The sequence below is a fragment of the Homo sapiens genome, chromosome 20 (assembly GCF_000001405.40).
Source record: "Homo sapiens chromosome 20, GRCh38.p14 Primary Assembly".
NCBI lineage: Eukaryota > Metazoa > Chordata > Mammalia > Primates > Hominidae > Homo > Homo sapiens.
In genome coordinates this window covers 1,631,702-1,648,790 of record NC_000020.11, presented here as the reverse complement: position 1 = coordinate 1,648,790, position 17,089 = coordinate 1,631,702, and the positions used below count along the sequence as shown (strand labels likewise).

The following is a 17,089-nucleotide window of genomic DNA, read 5'->3' as shown; positions in this document are numbered from 1 at the left end:
CCAGCCCTTTGGTTCCACAAATGAGGAAACTGACAGATTGAGTGACTTGCCCAGGTACGGGGCCAGAACTCACCTTCTGCCTCCAAAGAGCGCTTCTCTCTCAGGCTGGCCAAGTATATTCTTTTTTTTATTTTTTTTTATTTATTTTATTTTATTATACTTTAAGTTTGCAACAGGCACTCACTGAGAACCCACTGTGTGCCAGACTCCGCCCTGGATGCTGTGCAAACAGCAGTGAATGAAACAGCCAATAGCTCTTCCCCACACCAAGCTTACATTCTCTTCCATTCTAATGAGGAGAAATTCATCCAGGGGATGGAAAGTGTAAATCGTGTTTTTCTTTATTTAATCTTCAGAAACATCACACAGGGAAGATTCCTGGGAGGCACAGATTCACTGTTTAGTCTAATGGCCCGGTGGGAGGAGATGCCAATAAGTCTCGCATTTGCTGTGGGTCTATTTGAAGCCTTGGGTGATTTAAGGACTGAGTCATACAGTCACTGTGGGCTCTGAGCAGAGCTGGGTCATCTCAGAATATCCTTCACCTCAGAAAAGAGGTCATACGTATGGGTGGCTCAGGGGTGCCCAATTTAAAGCAGCAATAAAACTTATTTGGGGTTTCCAGCCAGAGGCCCAGAATCCTCATCCTACCTCCTGAATCCTGGAATTTCAGCACGGGAAAGACCTTCAGACTTTCAGCCCAACTCCCCTTTACAGATGGGGGACTTAAGCCAAGAGATGATAGGGGCCTTGTCCACAGTCACATGGCCAGTTATTGATGGAATCAAAGCCAGAGTCAAGGTCCGAATAGAGGCAGGCTCCTTCCTTCCCCAGTGTTTGTTAGACACTGTCTTCATAGAAGAACCTGGTGCATCACAGGTACTAAATAAAAGCTCCTCAAACAGAACCATGGATCAGGGAGCCAGGATTTCTTTTTTCATCCATTTCCCAAAGGTTCAGAATGCACCTCACATTCAGACACTAAAGCCCATTGGTGATTGGAAAACTTCTTCCAAACATAAGCCCTAACATTCCGTATCGAGATTCCACGTCAGGACATAGAACTGCTCCACTCTTTAGCAGCTGCAGAACACTCCAATTTATGGAAATATCAAAATTTATTTCACAGCATTCTGTTGATGGGTATGTAAGTTGTTCCCAAACTTGAGCTACTAACAATCCTGCAGTGGATGGCCTTGTACATGTATCACCCTCCTCAGGTGGGAGACACCCACTGGAAGTGACATTGCTAAGTCAGAGGGTGTGTGTATTTTCATATATGAGAATATTATCTAATTTCCCTCCTAGATGACATAGCAACAGGGCTCCCCACCACCCTTGAACATAGATGTGGAAGTGGATTTACCCTGATCAGATAATATAGGCAAAGACACCGAAGTTTCCAGATGGTGCCTCCCCAGCCCAGGCAGTCACAGCCAGAAAGTAGCTCAGGTGTGACTCAGATATGCTAACTCCTAGTATGGTGCTCACCCCTCTTTGCCATGCTCTCAGCCTAAATGATGACCTGGATGAGAAAGGAGGGAGGCAGGGAAGGGGGCCAGGGAGTGGCAGTTGTGCCAAAGTCTGCTTATAACCAGTGCTATGAGGGCGGAGCCATTTGTTGCCTCTTTAAAGATGAGGACACTGAGGCTCAGAGAGGAGATCTGAGTGGTGAGCAGGTCAGGGAGCCAAGATTTCCTCCCCACCAGCCTGACTTACAGCCCCTGTCTCTGCAACACTCACTCAGATGTGGTTTTTCAAGTGTAGAGAAATGCTCCAACCTTCTCTTTCCGGACTCTGGCATTGTTCAGTTCTATAGCGAAAAGCATTAAAGACGAAACTGAGGCTGGGTGCAGTGGCTCATGCCTGTAATCCCAGCACTTTGGGAGGCCGAGGTGGGTGGATCACCTGAGGTCAGGAGTTCAAGACCAGCCTAACCAACATGGAGAAACCCCGCCTTTACTAAAAATAAAAAAGTAGCCAGGCATGGTGGCGCATGCCTGTAATCCCAGCTACTCGGGAGGCTGAGGCAGGAGAATCGTTTGAAACTGGAAGGCGGAGGTTGCGGTGAGCCGAGATTGCACCATTGCACTCCAGCCTGGGCAACAAGAGCAAAACTCCATCAAAAACAAAACAAAACAAAACAAATGAAAAAAAGTCCTGTAGGGGTAGGAGGGGCTGGCTTTACCCTCTCATTAGAAAGGTTCTGCAGATGGTTCACTATATGTCAAGCCTGTTTCTAAAAGACAGGTCTCAGCACACATGAAGCGTTTAGGACTCTCCCCCCATGTTGTGCTGTTTCTCCTTCACTCAGCAGCATCTATGGAGCAGAGCTGGGCCTCCTGCAGCTCAGCGGAGCACATGCCCACCTCTTCTTGGTGCTGAGGACTAAGGATGAGGAGATGAGGTATTTCCTACGGGGTGCGTGGGGCCCATAGGAGCAAGTTTCCATGCTCCCCTCAGGCTGACAGGAGCCTACAGTGTTTTGTTTCTGGCCACAGTGTATCTGGGCCTGGGCACCCAGGAGGGAGGCTTCTCCCTTGAATTGCATGAAGTCAAGAATCTCGAAGGGACAATTGGGTGTGCAGTCAGTGTTGGGGCTCAAGAATTCAGGGCACTTGCTCTGTTAATGGACATGAATGCTTGGTGGGACACAGAAGGTGCCCACTGGGACACATGGAGGACAAGGAGACAGTGCCTTCATTTCTCCCAGCCTCAGTTTCCTCTTCTGTAGAATGGTGATCATCATGAACTCCTTTAAGAGAAAGAAAATGATTTGAGGTTCTCTCTGTAAATCACCTAGCACATTCTAAGCATCCCCAAATTGAGGTGCTATTTCAAGGTTGTGTAATCTTAAGCCAGTCTTGCCTTCCCTTGAGTCCTCAGTTTCTCCATCTGTGTGATGCTGATAATCATGGCCCCTACTCTAGGTTCTGTGAGGATCGGAGAGGATGTGCACAGAGCCTCTAATGGTGGAGGTGTTTGGTTTATCACTGAGCTTCGGCAGAACAGTGGTTAGGAGAGCATGGGCAAGAACTCAACTGCCTGGGCCACTTCCCAGCTCTGCCATTTTCTAGCTCTGTGACCTGGGACAAGGCAACCACCACTGTGGGCCTTGGTGTCCTCATCTGTTGATGATAACACCGACATCACAGACTGTAGGGAGAGCTGAAGGAGTTAAATCGTGTAACATGCTCAGAGCAGCACCTGGAATGCAGTAAATGTTCCATAAATGTGAACTATGTGATGCCGAAGCCATGACATCTCAGGTGGGCCAGTGCTCCTCCAGGCCTCAAGGATACATAGGGTTTGGGGTGGAGTCTCGTGGCTTTCAATCTTGGCCACCCATTAGAATCACCTGGGAAACTTTGACAAAAATGTTTACAAACCTGGACCCAGGATCCGCCTAAAAATGCCAATTTAATTGATCTGACATGGGCCTGGGCATCTGAACTCTTCATGACTCCAGAAGATTCTCATACCCAGTCCCCTGGCAAAGGTCATGCCCCATAGGGTTGGGGCTTTGAGAACAGCTTTTCTGGGGGTGGGTGCTTCAGAAAAAATGTGGTGGAAACAGCTCAGGAGGCCTCAGTGCCCTGGCCAGGACCCCTCCCACAGTACGGGCCTCAGGACCCAAGATAGAGTTTCCGGATAAAGCCCTGCTCAGATCCAGCCTCAGTGCTGGAGGACCTTCCATCGTGAAAACGTGTGTATCTAAAAAAGCATTGAAATCCCAGTACTCCTCAGCCCCAAAAGTCTCCCTGCCTCAAAACACCAAGATGTCACGCAGGACAGGGCCAAGATGGCTGACTAGAAGCAGCAGTGATAGGAGGCTCCCATGGAAAAGAACCAAAAAAGCGAGCAAATCCTGCAACACCAACTGAAGTATCCAGGTTCTGACATCAGAATTGACTAGGCAGCTGGCGAGACCCATGGAGAGGAAGAGCAGTGTGGTGCAGAGGCCCCCTGAGAGCTGTGGGGCAGGGAAGCCCCCACCCCCCAGCCAAGGGAGGCGGTGAGTGAGCTGCTACCTAGCCTGTGAAACAGTGCTTTTCCACAGAACTGTGCAACCCTCAGATCGGGAGATCCCACTCATGAGCCCATGCCACTGGGGCCTAGGGTCTCAATCAACCGCAGAGCTGCACAGATTCTCAACAGCCATTCAGCTAGAATCTCCTTAAGGCTGCTGAGCTCCCAGGGGAAGGGGTGGCCAGGATCACAGCTGTGGCTGCCTGCTGTTTAAGCCATCTGAGCTCCTTGGGAGATAGGCGGCAGCCAGCATTGGGACTGATCGCTGCCTAACACACTAAGTTCCCAGGGCAAAGGAAAGGTGGCAGCCATCTCTATAACTGCAGGCCATGCTTTTCCCCTGCTGGAGCCAGGGAGGCTAGATGGCTTGTTCCCAAGAGGTATCCCCCACAGCCCAACACACCAGCTGTGGCAAACTGCGGCCAGAGTGCCTCTTCAGGACTGACCCATCCCTCCTCACTGGGCAGGGCATCCCTCCAGGAACTCCAACAACTCCAGCCTGGGGCTCAGGGACAGAACTCTGATCTCCCTGGGCCTGAGCCCCTAGGGGGAGGGGTGGCCACTGTCTTAGTCTGGCAGACTTAGTTTTTCCTGCTGCTAGTTCTGAGAAATCTGGGCAGCCCAGATAAGTGGGTTTTTCCCCACTGAAGCACACTCACTCCACCAAGGGACAGTCAAAGTGCTTCGTTAAATGGGTCCTGCTCCCCGTGCCACCCAACTGAGAGAGACCCTCTAATAGGGGTTGTCGGACACCCTACACAGGAGTGCTCCTACTGGCATTAGATCAGTGCCCCTCGAGGTTAGAGATCCTAAAGGAAGGAGCAGGCACCCATCTTTGCCGTTCTCCAGCCTCTTCAAGTGACATGTCCAGGTGTGGGAGCCAACCAGATGAAAAGGCCCGAAGTGAACCCCCAACAAACTGCAGCAGCCTTGCAGGGAAGGGACCTGACCATTGAAAGAAAAACAAACAGAAGGCAACAACAGCATCAACAAAAAAAGTCCCCACAAAAACCCCATCCAAGGGTCAGCAGCCTGAAAGATCAAAACTAGACATATTCATGAAGATGAGAAAAAATCAACAGAAAACACTGACAACCCAAAAGGCCAGAGTTGCCTCTTCTCCTCCAAATGATCGCAATGAGTCTCCAGCAGGGGTGCAAAACTGGACAAAGGAGGAAATGGACGAATTGACGGAAGTAGGCTTCAGAAGGTGAGTAATAACAAAGTCCGCTGAGCTACGGGAGCAAGTTCTAACCCAACGCAAAGAAGCTAAGAATCTTAATAAAAGGTTACAGGAGCTGGTAACCAGAAAAACCAGTTTATAGAGGAACATAAATGACCTGATGGAGCTAAAAAACGTAGCACAAGAACTTTGTGAAGCATACACAAGTATCAGTAGTGGAATCAACCAAACAGAAGAAAGGATATCAGAGTTTGAAGACCATTTTGCTGAAATAAGACATGCGGACAAGATTTTAAAAAAAGAATGAAAAGGAATGAACAAAACCTCAGAGAAATATGGGACTATGTAAAAAGATCACAGCTATGATTGATTGGAGTACCTGAAAGAGATGGGGAGGATGGAACCAAATTGGAAAACACACTTCAGGATATTATCCAGGAGAACTTCCCCAACCTAGCAAGACAGGATAACATTGAAATTCAGGAAATATAGAAAACACCACTAAGATACTCCACAAGAAGATCAACCCCAAGACACATAATAATCAGACTCTCCAAGGTCAAAATGAAGGAAAAAATGTTAAGGGCAGCCAAAGAGAAAGGCAAGGTCACCTACAAAGGGAAGTCCATCAGACTAACAGAACAACTATTAGCAGAAACCCTACAAGCCAGGAGAGAGTGGGGGCCAATATTCAACATTCTTAAACAAAAGAATTTTCAACCCAGAATTTCATATCTAGCCAAACTAAGCTTCATATGTGAAGGAGAAATACAATCCTTTCCAAACAAGCAAATGCTGAGGGATTTGTCACCACCAGGCCTGCTTTGCAAGAGCTCCTGAAAGAAGTACTAAATGTGGAAAGGAAAAACCGGTACCAGCCACTGCAAAAACATACCAAAATATAAAGATCAGTGATCACTATGAAGAAACCGCATCAACTGGTGTGCAAAATAATCAGATAGCATCATGAAGACAGGATCAAATTCACACATAACAATATTAAGCTTAAATGTAATTAGGTTAAATCCCCCGATTAAAAGACATAGACAGGCAAATTGGATAAAGAGTCAAGCCCCATCGGTGGGCTGTATTTAGGAGACCCATCTCACATGCAAAGACACACATAGGCTCAAAACAAACGGATGGAGGAAAATTTACCAAGCAAATGGAAAGCAAAAGAAGGTGGGGGTTGCGATCCTGGTCCCTGACAAAACAAACTTTAAACCAACAAAGATCAAAAAAGACAAAGAAGGGCATTACCTAATGGTAAAGGGATCAATTCAACTAACTATCCTAAATATAGGAGCACCCAGATTCATAAACCAAGTTCTTAGAGACCTACAAAAAGACTTAGACTCCCACACAATAATAGTGGGAGACTTTAATACCCCATTGTCAATATTAGACAGATCAATGAGACAGAAAATTAATAAGGATATTCAGGGCTTGAACTCAGCTCTGGATCAAGTGGACCTAATAGACATCTACAGAACTCTCCACCCCAAATCAACAGAAAACACATTGTTCTCAGTGCCACAAGGCACTTATTCTAAAATCAACCACATAATTGGAAGTAAAACACTCCTCAGCAAATGCAAAAGAACGGAAATCATAGCCAACAGTTTATCAGACCACAGTTCAATCAAATTAGAACTCAGAATTAAGAAACTCACTCAAAACCACACAACTACATGGAAATTGAACAGCCTGCTCCTGAATGACTCCTGGGTAAATAATGAAATTAAGACAGAAATTAAGAAGTTATTTGAAACCAATAAGAACAAAGAGACAACATACCAGAATCTCTGGGACACAGCTAAAGCAGTGTTTAGAGGGAAATTTATAGCACGAAATGCCCACATCAGAAAGCTAGAAAGATCTGAAATCAACACCGTAACATCACAATTAAAAGATCTAGAGAAGCAAGAGCAAAAGCTAGCAGAAGACAAGAAATGACTAAGATCAGAAACGAACTGAAGGAGATAAAGACACAAAAAACCCTTCAAAAAATCAATGAATCCAGAAGCTGGTTTTTTGAAGAAATTAACAAAATAGACCACTAGCTAGACTAATAAAGAAGAAAGGAGAGAAGAATCAAATCAATAAAAAAAAGATAAAGGGGATATCACCACTGACCCCATGGAAACACAAACTAACATCAGAAAATACTATGAACACTTCTACGCAAATAAACTAGAAAATCTAGAAGAAATGGATAAATTCCTGTACACATACACCCTCCCAAGACTAAACCAAAAAGAAATCGAGCCCCTGAATAGACCAATAACAAGTTCTGAAATTGAGGCAGTAATTAATAGCCTACCAACCAAAAAAAGCCCAGGACCAGATGGATTCACAGCCAAATTCTACCAGAGGTACAACGAGGAGCTGGAACCATTCCTTCTGAAACTATTCCAAATACTAGAAAAAGTGGGACACCTCCCTGACTCATTTTATGAAGCCAGCATCATCCTGATGCCAAAGCCTGGCAGAGACAGAACAAAAAAAGAAAACATCAGGCCAGTATCCCTGATAAACATCAAAGTGAAAATCCTCAATAAAATACTGGCAAACTGAATCCCGCAGCACATCAAAAAGTTTATCCACCACAATCAAATTGGCTTCATCCCTGGCATGCAAGGCTTGTTCAACATACGCAAATCAAGAAATGTAATCCATCACATAAACAGAACCAATGACAAAAGCCACATGATTATCTCAATAGATGCAGAAAAGGCCTTCAATACAATTCAACACCGCTTCATGCTAAAAATTCTCAATAAATTAGGTATTAACGGAACATATCTCAAAATAAAAAGAACTATTTATGACAACCCCACAGCCAGTATCATAATGAATGTGCAAAAGCTGGAAACATTCCCCTTGAAAACCAGCACAAGACAAGGACGCCCTCTCTAACCATTTCTATTCAACATAGTATTAGAAGTTCTGTCCAGAGCAATCAGGCAAGAGAAGGAAATAAGGGGTATTCAAATAAGAAGAGAGGAAGTCAAATTGTCTTTGTTTGCAGATGACATGATTCTATATTTAGAAAGCCCCATCATCTCAGCTCAAAAACTCCTTAAGCTGATAAGAAACTTCAGCAAAGTCTCAGGATAGAAAATCAATGTGCAAAAATCACAAGCATTCCTATACACCAACAATAGACAAGCAGAGAGCCAAATCATGAATGAACTCCCATTCACAATTGGTACAAAGAGAATAAAATGCCTAGGAATACAACTTACAAGGGATTTGAAGGACCTCTTCAAGGAGAACTACAAACCACTGCTTCAAAGAAATAAGAGAGGACACAAAAAAATGGAAAAACATTCCATGCTCATGGATAGGAAGGATGAATGTCATGAAAAAGTAATTTATAGATTCAGTGCTATTCCCATCAAATTACCATTGACATTCTTCACAGAATTAGAAAAAAAACTACATTAAATTTTATATTGAACCAAAAAAAAGCCCGTATAGCCAAGACAATCCTAAGCAAAAAGAACAAAATTGGAGGCATCACGCTACCTGACTTCAAACTATATTACAAGGCTACAGTAACCAAAACAGCATGGTACTTGTACCAAGACAGACATATAGACCAATGGAACAGAACGGAGACCTCAGAAATAATGCTGTACATTTACAACCATCTGATCTTCAACAAACCTGAGAAAAACAAGCAATGGGGAAAGGATTCCCTATTTAATAAATGGGACTGGGAAAACTGGTTAGCCATATGCAGAAAACTGAAACCAGACCCCTTCCTTACACCTTATACAAAAATTAACTGAAGATGGGTTAAAGACTTAAATGTAAAACCCAAAACCATAAAAACCCTAGAAGAAAACCTAGGCAATACCATTCAGGCATAGGCATGGGCAAAGACTTCATGACGAAAATGCCAAAAGCAATTGCAACAAAAGTGAAAGTTGACAAATGGTATCTAATTAAACTAAAGAGATTCTGCACAGGAATAGAAACTATCATGAGAGTGAACAGGCAACCTACAGAATGGGAGAAAATTTTTGCAATTTACCCATCTGACAAAGGTCTAATATCCAGAATCTACAAGGAACTTAAACAAATTCACAAGAAAAAAACAAACAACCCCATCAAAAAGTATGCAAAGTATATGAACACACACTTCTCAAAAGAAGACATTTATGTGGCCAACAAACATATGAAAAAAAGCTCAACATCACTGATCATTAGAGAAATGAAAATCAAAACCACAATGAGATACCATCTCATGCCAGTCAGAATGGTGATTATTAAAAAGTTAGGAAACAATAGATGCTGGTGATGCTGTGGAAAAATAGGAGCGTTTTTACATTCTTGGTGGGAATGTAAATTAGTTCAACGATTGTGGAAGACAGTGTGGTGACTCCTTAAGGATCAAGAACCAGAGATACCATTTGACCCAGCAATCCCATTACTGGGTATGTAACCAAAGGAATATAAATCATTCTACTATGAGGACACATGCACATGTATGTTTATTGCAGCACTATTTACAATAGCAAAGACATGAAACCAACCCAAATGCCCATCAGTGATAGACTGGACAAAGAAAAGGTGGTACATATACACCATGGAATACTATGCAGCCATAAAAAAGAATGAGTTCATGTCCTTTGCGGGGCCATGGATGAAGCTGGAAGCCATTATCCTCAGCAAACTAACACAGGGACAGAAAAGCAAACACCACATGTTCTCACTCATAAGTGGGAGTTGCACAATGTGAACACATGGACGCAGGGAGGGGAACAACACACACCAGGGCCAGTCAAGGGGTGGGGGGGTGAGGGGAAGGAGAGCATTAGGACAAATAGCTAATGCATGCAGGGCTTAAAATCTAGATGATGGGTTGATAAGTGCAGCAAACCACCATGGCAAACATAACCTATAAAACAAACCTGCATATTCTGCACTTGTATCCCAGAACTTAAAGTAAAATAATAATAATAAAAAGATGTCACAGAGGACTCTGTTCCCTCCTCCTTCCAAAATGCTTCCAGCTTTACCTATGATCTTATTTTTTTTTGAAAGCCAGTTGTCCAGACTTGGTGGTTTTGCTTTTATTATCATTTGAGTTTTTCATGAGCTGCAGGGAGCAGGATTTGAGCCTTTTCTTGGTGTTTCTACTCCTCTATGTTCTGCTGCCTAAAGAATAAGTGTGTAGATTCAGAAGTAGTAATGACCAAACCTCTTGATAACAGCCATAGGGCTCATTTATTAAGCACCTGCTGCATACCAGGCTCCGTGCTTGCCTTCATCCTCCCTCACCTTACCAGGGTGGGTTTTTTATCCACTTTTGGCCCTTTGCTAGCTGGGGTCCCCTCAGACCCTGGTCCTATAAGGGACTCACACGAGGACCCCCTCAAGGCAATAAAGGGAGGATTAAAGAGCTGAGAGGTACAGAGGGAGCAGCCAGCATCAGGCTCCCAAGAAGCCCTCAATAAATGGCAACTGGTTACAGCCTCTCAGCCCTCTAGGGATGCCCAATGCTGCTGGTGTCTTGATGACTTGACTTCTTCAAGTGACACCCTTCTTACTGTGCCCATAAAATGTTTGCATGTGGTAGGGAGCAAGTTAATATTTACAAATGCAAGTATGCCTAATATGTGTTTCCTGATGACTGCTATAGGAGGTGCAGGGTAATAATTAGCAATTTGGAGACACGTTTAGGACTCATCTACAGGGAGAAACTACCCTCATTTTTCTGATTCTCCAGTTTGTGTGCTTTCAGGACCCAGGATAGATTTCTGCCTGTTGGGGTGGCCTAGATCTTTGTCTCTTGTAATGAATTAACGATGAAGAAATCACCCACCTTTGGCTTTCTTAGTACTCAGTGATCATTGTTTTTGGACCCAACCTGGCCCAACTGAAGACCTAGATTCCAAGAAACCTTCCCTCTTTTCAAATTTGGGACTTGGCACAGATTAGACCTGCTAACTAAAAAAAATAATGATTGATAGGAAGGCCAAAGGAAATAGCATTTATCTGGGAAATAAAGAGTTGCAATTTGGGAACCCTGAGTCATGGTAGTCCTGAACAGTGTCCCATAGGGCAATGCAGGAAAAGTTTTGTACTGGGGACTTTCACAAAATGTTGTTTTTGAAAACAGTTCATTGCCTGGCAGAAATGCTAAACTGCAAACTCGTATGAATTGGTTACTTAATTAGGACACTCCAGGATGAGAGAAATCAAAATCCCATGTACCTTGACTTCAGTCCATTGTTATCCAGGTCTACAGCAACATCCTGTGGCTTGACCTTTAGCAGGTGTGAGTGCAATGCTCTTACAAACGCTTGACTCCATGTTAAAGCTTTAGCCTTAACTACTTCATTTTCTTTCAAAAACTGTACTGGAATATTTGTGAAAAGAATGAAAAATATGGAATAAATTCATAAATACACAAAGAGAGAGAGCTCTAGGTATATGTCAAGTCTGGATTAAAGACAGATCTGTGTTTATTTTTATGAAGCATCTTCTGACTTTGATCCAAAGCAAAACTTCTTCCATGGCCCCATTTAATCCTTGTTGCACCCCTGGGAAGGGAAAATGCTGCTGTCCCACTTTGCAGATGAGGGGCTGCATGTTCCAGGCCACCCCTCTCATGGGCTGAGCAGCCTGGTTGCAGGTCTCATGGTGGCGCCACTTTGCCATTGTTCCCTACTTTGGCTTCTGTAAACACCCTCTCTGAGGTTGGTGAGCTCTCCTGGGGAAACAGGCTAGCACCAGTTAATACACAGAGGGAGAACAATCAGTAACTTTGTTCCTGTGCCCAGATTGGTGGAAGTCACCCTATGTGGAGAGGAGGACTTTGAACTCAGACCTGGACTTCCCTCTGGGACCTTTCCCTACACTGTCTGACCTGGGGCTGGTCGTCACCTCTTCCAACCTTTGCATCCTGCTCTGTAAAATGAGAATAAGAACACCATCCTCTCCACATTATTAGAAGGATTAAAATTAATGTATCTGAAGGTTCTTAACAGTGTCACACACTCATCGTTAGTGATTGTCATCTCAGTCATGTCTCCTGTTTATCGATGCCCCTTTTGTAGCCAAACCCTCTGCCCCCGTGGTATTGGGCCCTGCGGCGAGGACCACACCTGAGCATACAGTGAGTTTCACCTGTGAGTCCCATGGCTTCTCTCCCAGAGACATCACCCTGAAATGGTTCAAAAATGGGAATGAGCTCTCAGACTTCCAGACCAACGTGGACCCCACAGGACAGAGTGTGGCCTACAGCATCCGCAGCACAGCCAGGGTGGTACTGGACCCCTGGGACGTTCGCTCTCAGGTCATCTGCGAGGTGGCCCATGTCACCTTGCAGGGGGACCCTCTTCGTGGGACTGCCAACTTGTCTGAGGCCATCCGAGGTAGAGGACCCTCACACCCAGCCCAAGCCCACACCTGGCTGTCAAGCCCACTCCCCTCTCCCCAGGCTGTTGCTCCAGAGGTTGAATGGCCTGTAATCTAATCCCTGACTATACTGCCCGCCCGCCATGCACCTAGGTGTGCTGGTCACTTACTATCATTTTATTGGCAGCGGTCAGGGGACCAGCAATCACGTGCCAAGCTCTGCGCTAGAGAGTTTCATTTATCTCACCAAGAACAACTACTATTAGTGAGTACCTACTATGAGCCAAGTCCCTATGTGCTCGGCGATTTCACTGATTTTGCTACAGTTCTTACATTCCAACTGCATGCCAGGGGTTGTGCTTGTAGATTTCACTCATTCTTAGCCTAGTAGGAGCTACCAGTCCTTGAGCACCTACTGTGCACCAGGCACTGTGCTTGGTAATTTCATTCATATGCAAAGAGCGCCCTCAATGTCTTAGCATCTGCTGCCTGCCTAGCACTGTCCTGGTGATGCCCTCACCGTGGTAGTGGGAGTTAAGTTATGGAGCCCTCCCTGTGATCTGTCTGTGCCAGAAGATCAGAGCTTCTACCCTGTGCTGTTTCAGTTCCACCCACCTTGGAGGTTACTCAACAGCCCATGAGGGTGGGGAACCAGGTAAACGTCACCTGCCAGGTGAGGAAGTTCTACCCCCAGAGCCTACAGCTGACCTGGTCGGAGAATGGAAACGTGTGCCAGAGAGAAACAGCCTCGACCCTTACAGAGAACAAGGATGGTACCTACAACTGGACAAGCTGGTTCCTGGTGAACATATCTGACCAAAGGGATGATGTGGTCCTCACCTGCCAGGTGAAGCATGATGGGCAGCTGGCGGTCAGCAAACGCCTTGCCCTAGAGGTCACAGTCCACCAGAAGGACCAGAGCTCAGATGCTACCCCTGGTGAGGTTACTCAAAATTTTTAAATTTTGTCTTTTTCTCTCATTTTAAAAGTAATATCCACACTTGCTGTAAAATAAGCTAGAAGTCTATAAATACAAAGTAAAATTTTAATGTCAGCTCCATCCCCCCAAATCCCACATGCGAAGAGTCATGACTAGTAAGAATTTGATGCACAAGTTAATAGAACTTTTGACATAAATATATGTTTAATTTTTTTTTTTTTTGAGACGGAGTCTGGCTCTGTCGCCCAGACTGGAGTGCAGTGGCGCGATCTCTGCTCACCGCAAGCTCCGCCTCCCGGGTTCACGCCATTCTCCTGTCTCAGCCTCCCGAGTAGCTGGGACTACAGGCGCCCGCCACCACGCCCGACTAATTTTTTGTATTTTTAGTAGAGATGGGGTTTCACCGTGTTAGCCAGGATGGTCTCGATCTCCTGACCTCGTGATCCGCCCGCCTCAGCCTCCCAAAGTGCTGGGATTACAGGCGTGAGCCACCGCGCCTGGCGTACATAAATATATATTTAAGGAGCAAAGAGGCAGGCAGGGGGAACCATCTTCTCATAGAGTCCTTTGCCTTCCCTTATTCCTTGAGAGTTGTTGTGCCCGTTTCTCATCAGCCCACCCTTGTGCTCCCTACTTTTTCTAACCTCTGCTTTGTTTCTGTTTCATCCAAACTTTTCCATCCTCATTTATGACCTCATCCCAGTACACCCTGACATCTGCTGTGTATGTTTCAGAAAGACAAATGTAGTTTAAAACTGTACCAGGCCTGGCGGCTCACGCCTGTAATCCCAGCACTTTGGGAGGCCGAGGCGGGCGGATCACGAGGTCAGGAGATCGAGACCATCCTGGTTAACACGGTGAAACCCCATCTCTACTAAAAATACAAAAAAATGAGCCGGGCGTGGTGGCGGGCGCCTGTAGTCCCAGCTACTCGGGAGGCTGAGGCAGGAGAATGGTGTGAACCCAGGAGGCGGAGCTTGCAGTGAGCCGAGATCATGCCACTGCACTCCAGCCTGGGCGACAGAGCGAGACTCTGTCAAAAAAAAAAAAAAAAACTGTACCAGGCCTGCAGGTGACCATGAATGGTCACAGAACGGACCTCTTCTGTGTCCTGATTGTGATATTTGAGCAACAATAATCACAAACCCCTCTGCAAATTTACTAAGTGCAAATTTCCATTCATCCATGATCTCTGTTTTTGCTTCAACCACCCAGTAAGTCTGGAGTTTTAAAGAAGGGGAAACTAGGACTTGGGAAGTCATGGGGGATGTTGTTGAAGACCTCTTGCCTTTAGATCGGGTTATTGGTTCAAACTAATTAAAGTAAATCTGGGTCCCTGAGGACAAGGTCAGTATCAGCCTAAAATGCAAATTTGTGCTAGTTAGAGAAACAGTCCTCTTCTGCTGGGCATTGTCCCATGGACCTGAAGTTGGCCTGTGTTCCACTCCGTATGACCAAAATATGTCTTACTTCCCTCTTGTGTAATACCAGGAGGAGTCTCAACTCCAGGAGACTTTTCAAAGGCCCAGGTTCCTCCCACATACCTTATGGTGGTTAGTCTTATCTGCTGGGTCAGTGCTAGGTCACGGATTTTTCCATGTCCCTGTCTGCTGGAAGAGTAAATATAGGAAATGGAGGGCAAAAAATATCTTCTATAATCAGAGATGTATGGAAGGCGTGTGATCATGTCCACAGCTAACTCAGTCATGCATGTACACGCAGTTCCAAATGGAATCCATAGTTGGGTGATCTTATGACTAAAGACAGCATAACAAAACCAGTATCATTATTACAGTTAATACAATTTCAAATTTTTAATCACTAAATTTCATAAAATTATTAAAACAATTCCCTTATATCATCTAAAATGGAGTATACATTCAAATTTTCCTCAAATTTCTTTTATGACTATCTTTCTGTGCACTAAATTTGGTTTTAATTCATATTTAAATGCTTTGCAGTATTTTTCTTTGAAACACTTGGGCCTCAAGAATTTTTGGGGGTGTTTTAAAAGTATAAATTCAATTTCCTCAGTAGTTTAGGGTTACTCATATTATTCATTTCATATTGGGTGAGTTCCGGTAACTCGTGCCTTTTGAAGAATTTTGTGTCCATTTTATCTAAGTTGTCATATTTTTGTGTGTAGAGTTGTTCATAATATCTCCTTATTATCTTTTTGGTGTCTGAAGGGTTATGGCGATATCCCCTGTTTCAACCTCATATCTAAAATATGCCATTTCTGTTTTCTTCTTCATCAGCCTTGCTATAGTTTTTTTCCATTTTATTGGTCTTTTCAAAGGACCACTTTGTTTCCGTGAGTTTTTAAATTGTTTTTGTGTTTCCAGTTTATTCATTTTTTGCACTCTTCTTTTTATTAATTCCTGTCTCCTGCTTGCTTTGAGTTTATTTTGCTCTACTTTTTCTAGTTTCTTGAAGTGGTGATTTAATTGACTTGAGGCTTTTGCTCTTTTCTATGTCATTCCTTTGCCTCCGTTTATGGCTGGGGCTGGTGTTGGGGGATGGGTCCCAGGTGCCTGGCTGCAGGGCTGTCCCTCAGTCCTGAGGCCCCTAGTCAGTCTCCCTTCTTCCTCTCCCACCTTGGAATTTCTCCTATTCCTGATCCTTGTGATGTTTCTAGGGTTCATAGTTTTACTTCTCAGGGAGGTAAAACTGCACCATCAAGACTGGATTGCATTTGCTTTTCAGTTATTCATCCACCCACTGGCTTGGACCAGGACCAGGGCTGGCATTTTTGGGTGCTTTCGGTTTGCCAGATGTAGCATCTTTGCTCAGGTACTAAGGCTGGAAATGCATTTTAAGTTGTCTAGGCTGGCAGGTAAAATGCAAGATGCCTTGTGGTTACATAAGTGCTGCACCAGTGGCGTGGGAGCCGGGTAAGAGACTGTGCACTAGGGTTAGGTGAGTGTTCTGTTTTGACTCACGGTCATTTTGCAGTTTGGCTTTCTCTCTTCAAGTAATACTGAGAGCCAGGGTTGTGCAGAACTTACTTTGTTTTCATTTTTTATTTGATTTGGGGAGGATATTTTATACAGATAAGTAGCTATGCTGCTGCAATTGTACCCAGCAACTCTTAAGTCAACCGAAGATCTTTGAGTGCTTTGACCCAAATGTCCACTCCCACATCTCAGGGTCCCACAACTTCCCCATCAGGGCCCTACCCCAGCATAGCAACCGTTGAAGCTGAGATTCATCCTCCTCTGTGATTCTGCTACTCTTTTAATGATGTCCAGGGCCCAACCCTCTATTCTTTCTGCCCTCTAGCCACAAGAGATAAGAAAGTGCAGTGCTGCCAAGAAGTCCTCTTGCTTTCACGCTGAACCTTAACTCATAATCAATCACTCGTAGCTTCTCAGCATATTTCCCCAAAAAAAATATGCCCAGTGATAGCCATGGAACAAGTTAGTCCTTATAACTACCATTTCCCAATTTGTTTCAAAAGCCTGATGCCAAGGAATTTCCTGCCTGTGGTTACGCCATCCCAGCTTACTGCCAGTGAAAGTTTTATCAATTGCATCCCAGCCATGGTGCCCAGCCCCACTCAC

General features: G+C 44.7%; 1 protein-coding gene and 1 long non-coding RNA gene across 7 annotated transcripts in view, besides 1 other annotated feature; one reads left to right on the top strand and one right to left on the bottom strand.

The window, feature by feature from the left end:
- The window catches only part of SIRPG (signal regulatory protein gamma), a 57,304-nt gene that overhangs the window by 37,665 nt on the left and 2,550 nt on the right, over window positions 1-17,089 (top strand). For 2 of the 6 annotated variants that reach the window (XM_011529286.3, NM_018556.4), the window contains exons 3-4: window positions 12,286-12,603; window positions 13,192-13,524. The exons of 1 other annotated variant lie outside the window; for it this stretch is intronic. In XM_011529286.3, the coding sequence (XP_011527588.1) occupies window positions 12,286-12,603; window positions 13,192-13,524 (651 nt within the window). Of the gene's footprint in view, window positions 1-12,285; window positions 12,604-12,773; window positions 12,852-13,191; window positions 13,525-17,089 lie in introns of those variants that run through there. 3 more of the 6 variants (XM_011529287.3, XM_005260749.5, NM_001039508.2) reach the window with 3 other exon arrangements.
- SIRPG-AS1 (SIRPG antisense RNA 1) lies at window positions 318-15,283 on the bottom strand. The gene is made up of 3 exons (NR_110090.1): window positions 15,071-15,283; window positions 11,441-11,585; window positions 318-2,755 (listed from the first exon to the last, which is right to left on the bottom strand). It is a non-coding gene; the product is annotated as an SIRPG antisense RNA 1 (long non-coding RNA).
- Window positions 12,876-13,701: an enhancer, noted in NCBI's record as "H3K27ac-H3K4me1 hESC enhancer chr20:1615736-1616561 (GRCh37/hg19 assembly coordinates)". NCBI's record gives its function as "activates a minimal SCP1, AML or CMV promoter by ChIP-STARR-seq in naive H9 embryonic stem cells {active_cell/tissue: H9 hESC(naive)}" and the evidence as "EXISTENCE:reporter gene assay evidence [ECO:0000049][PMID:30033119]".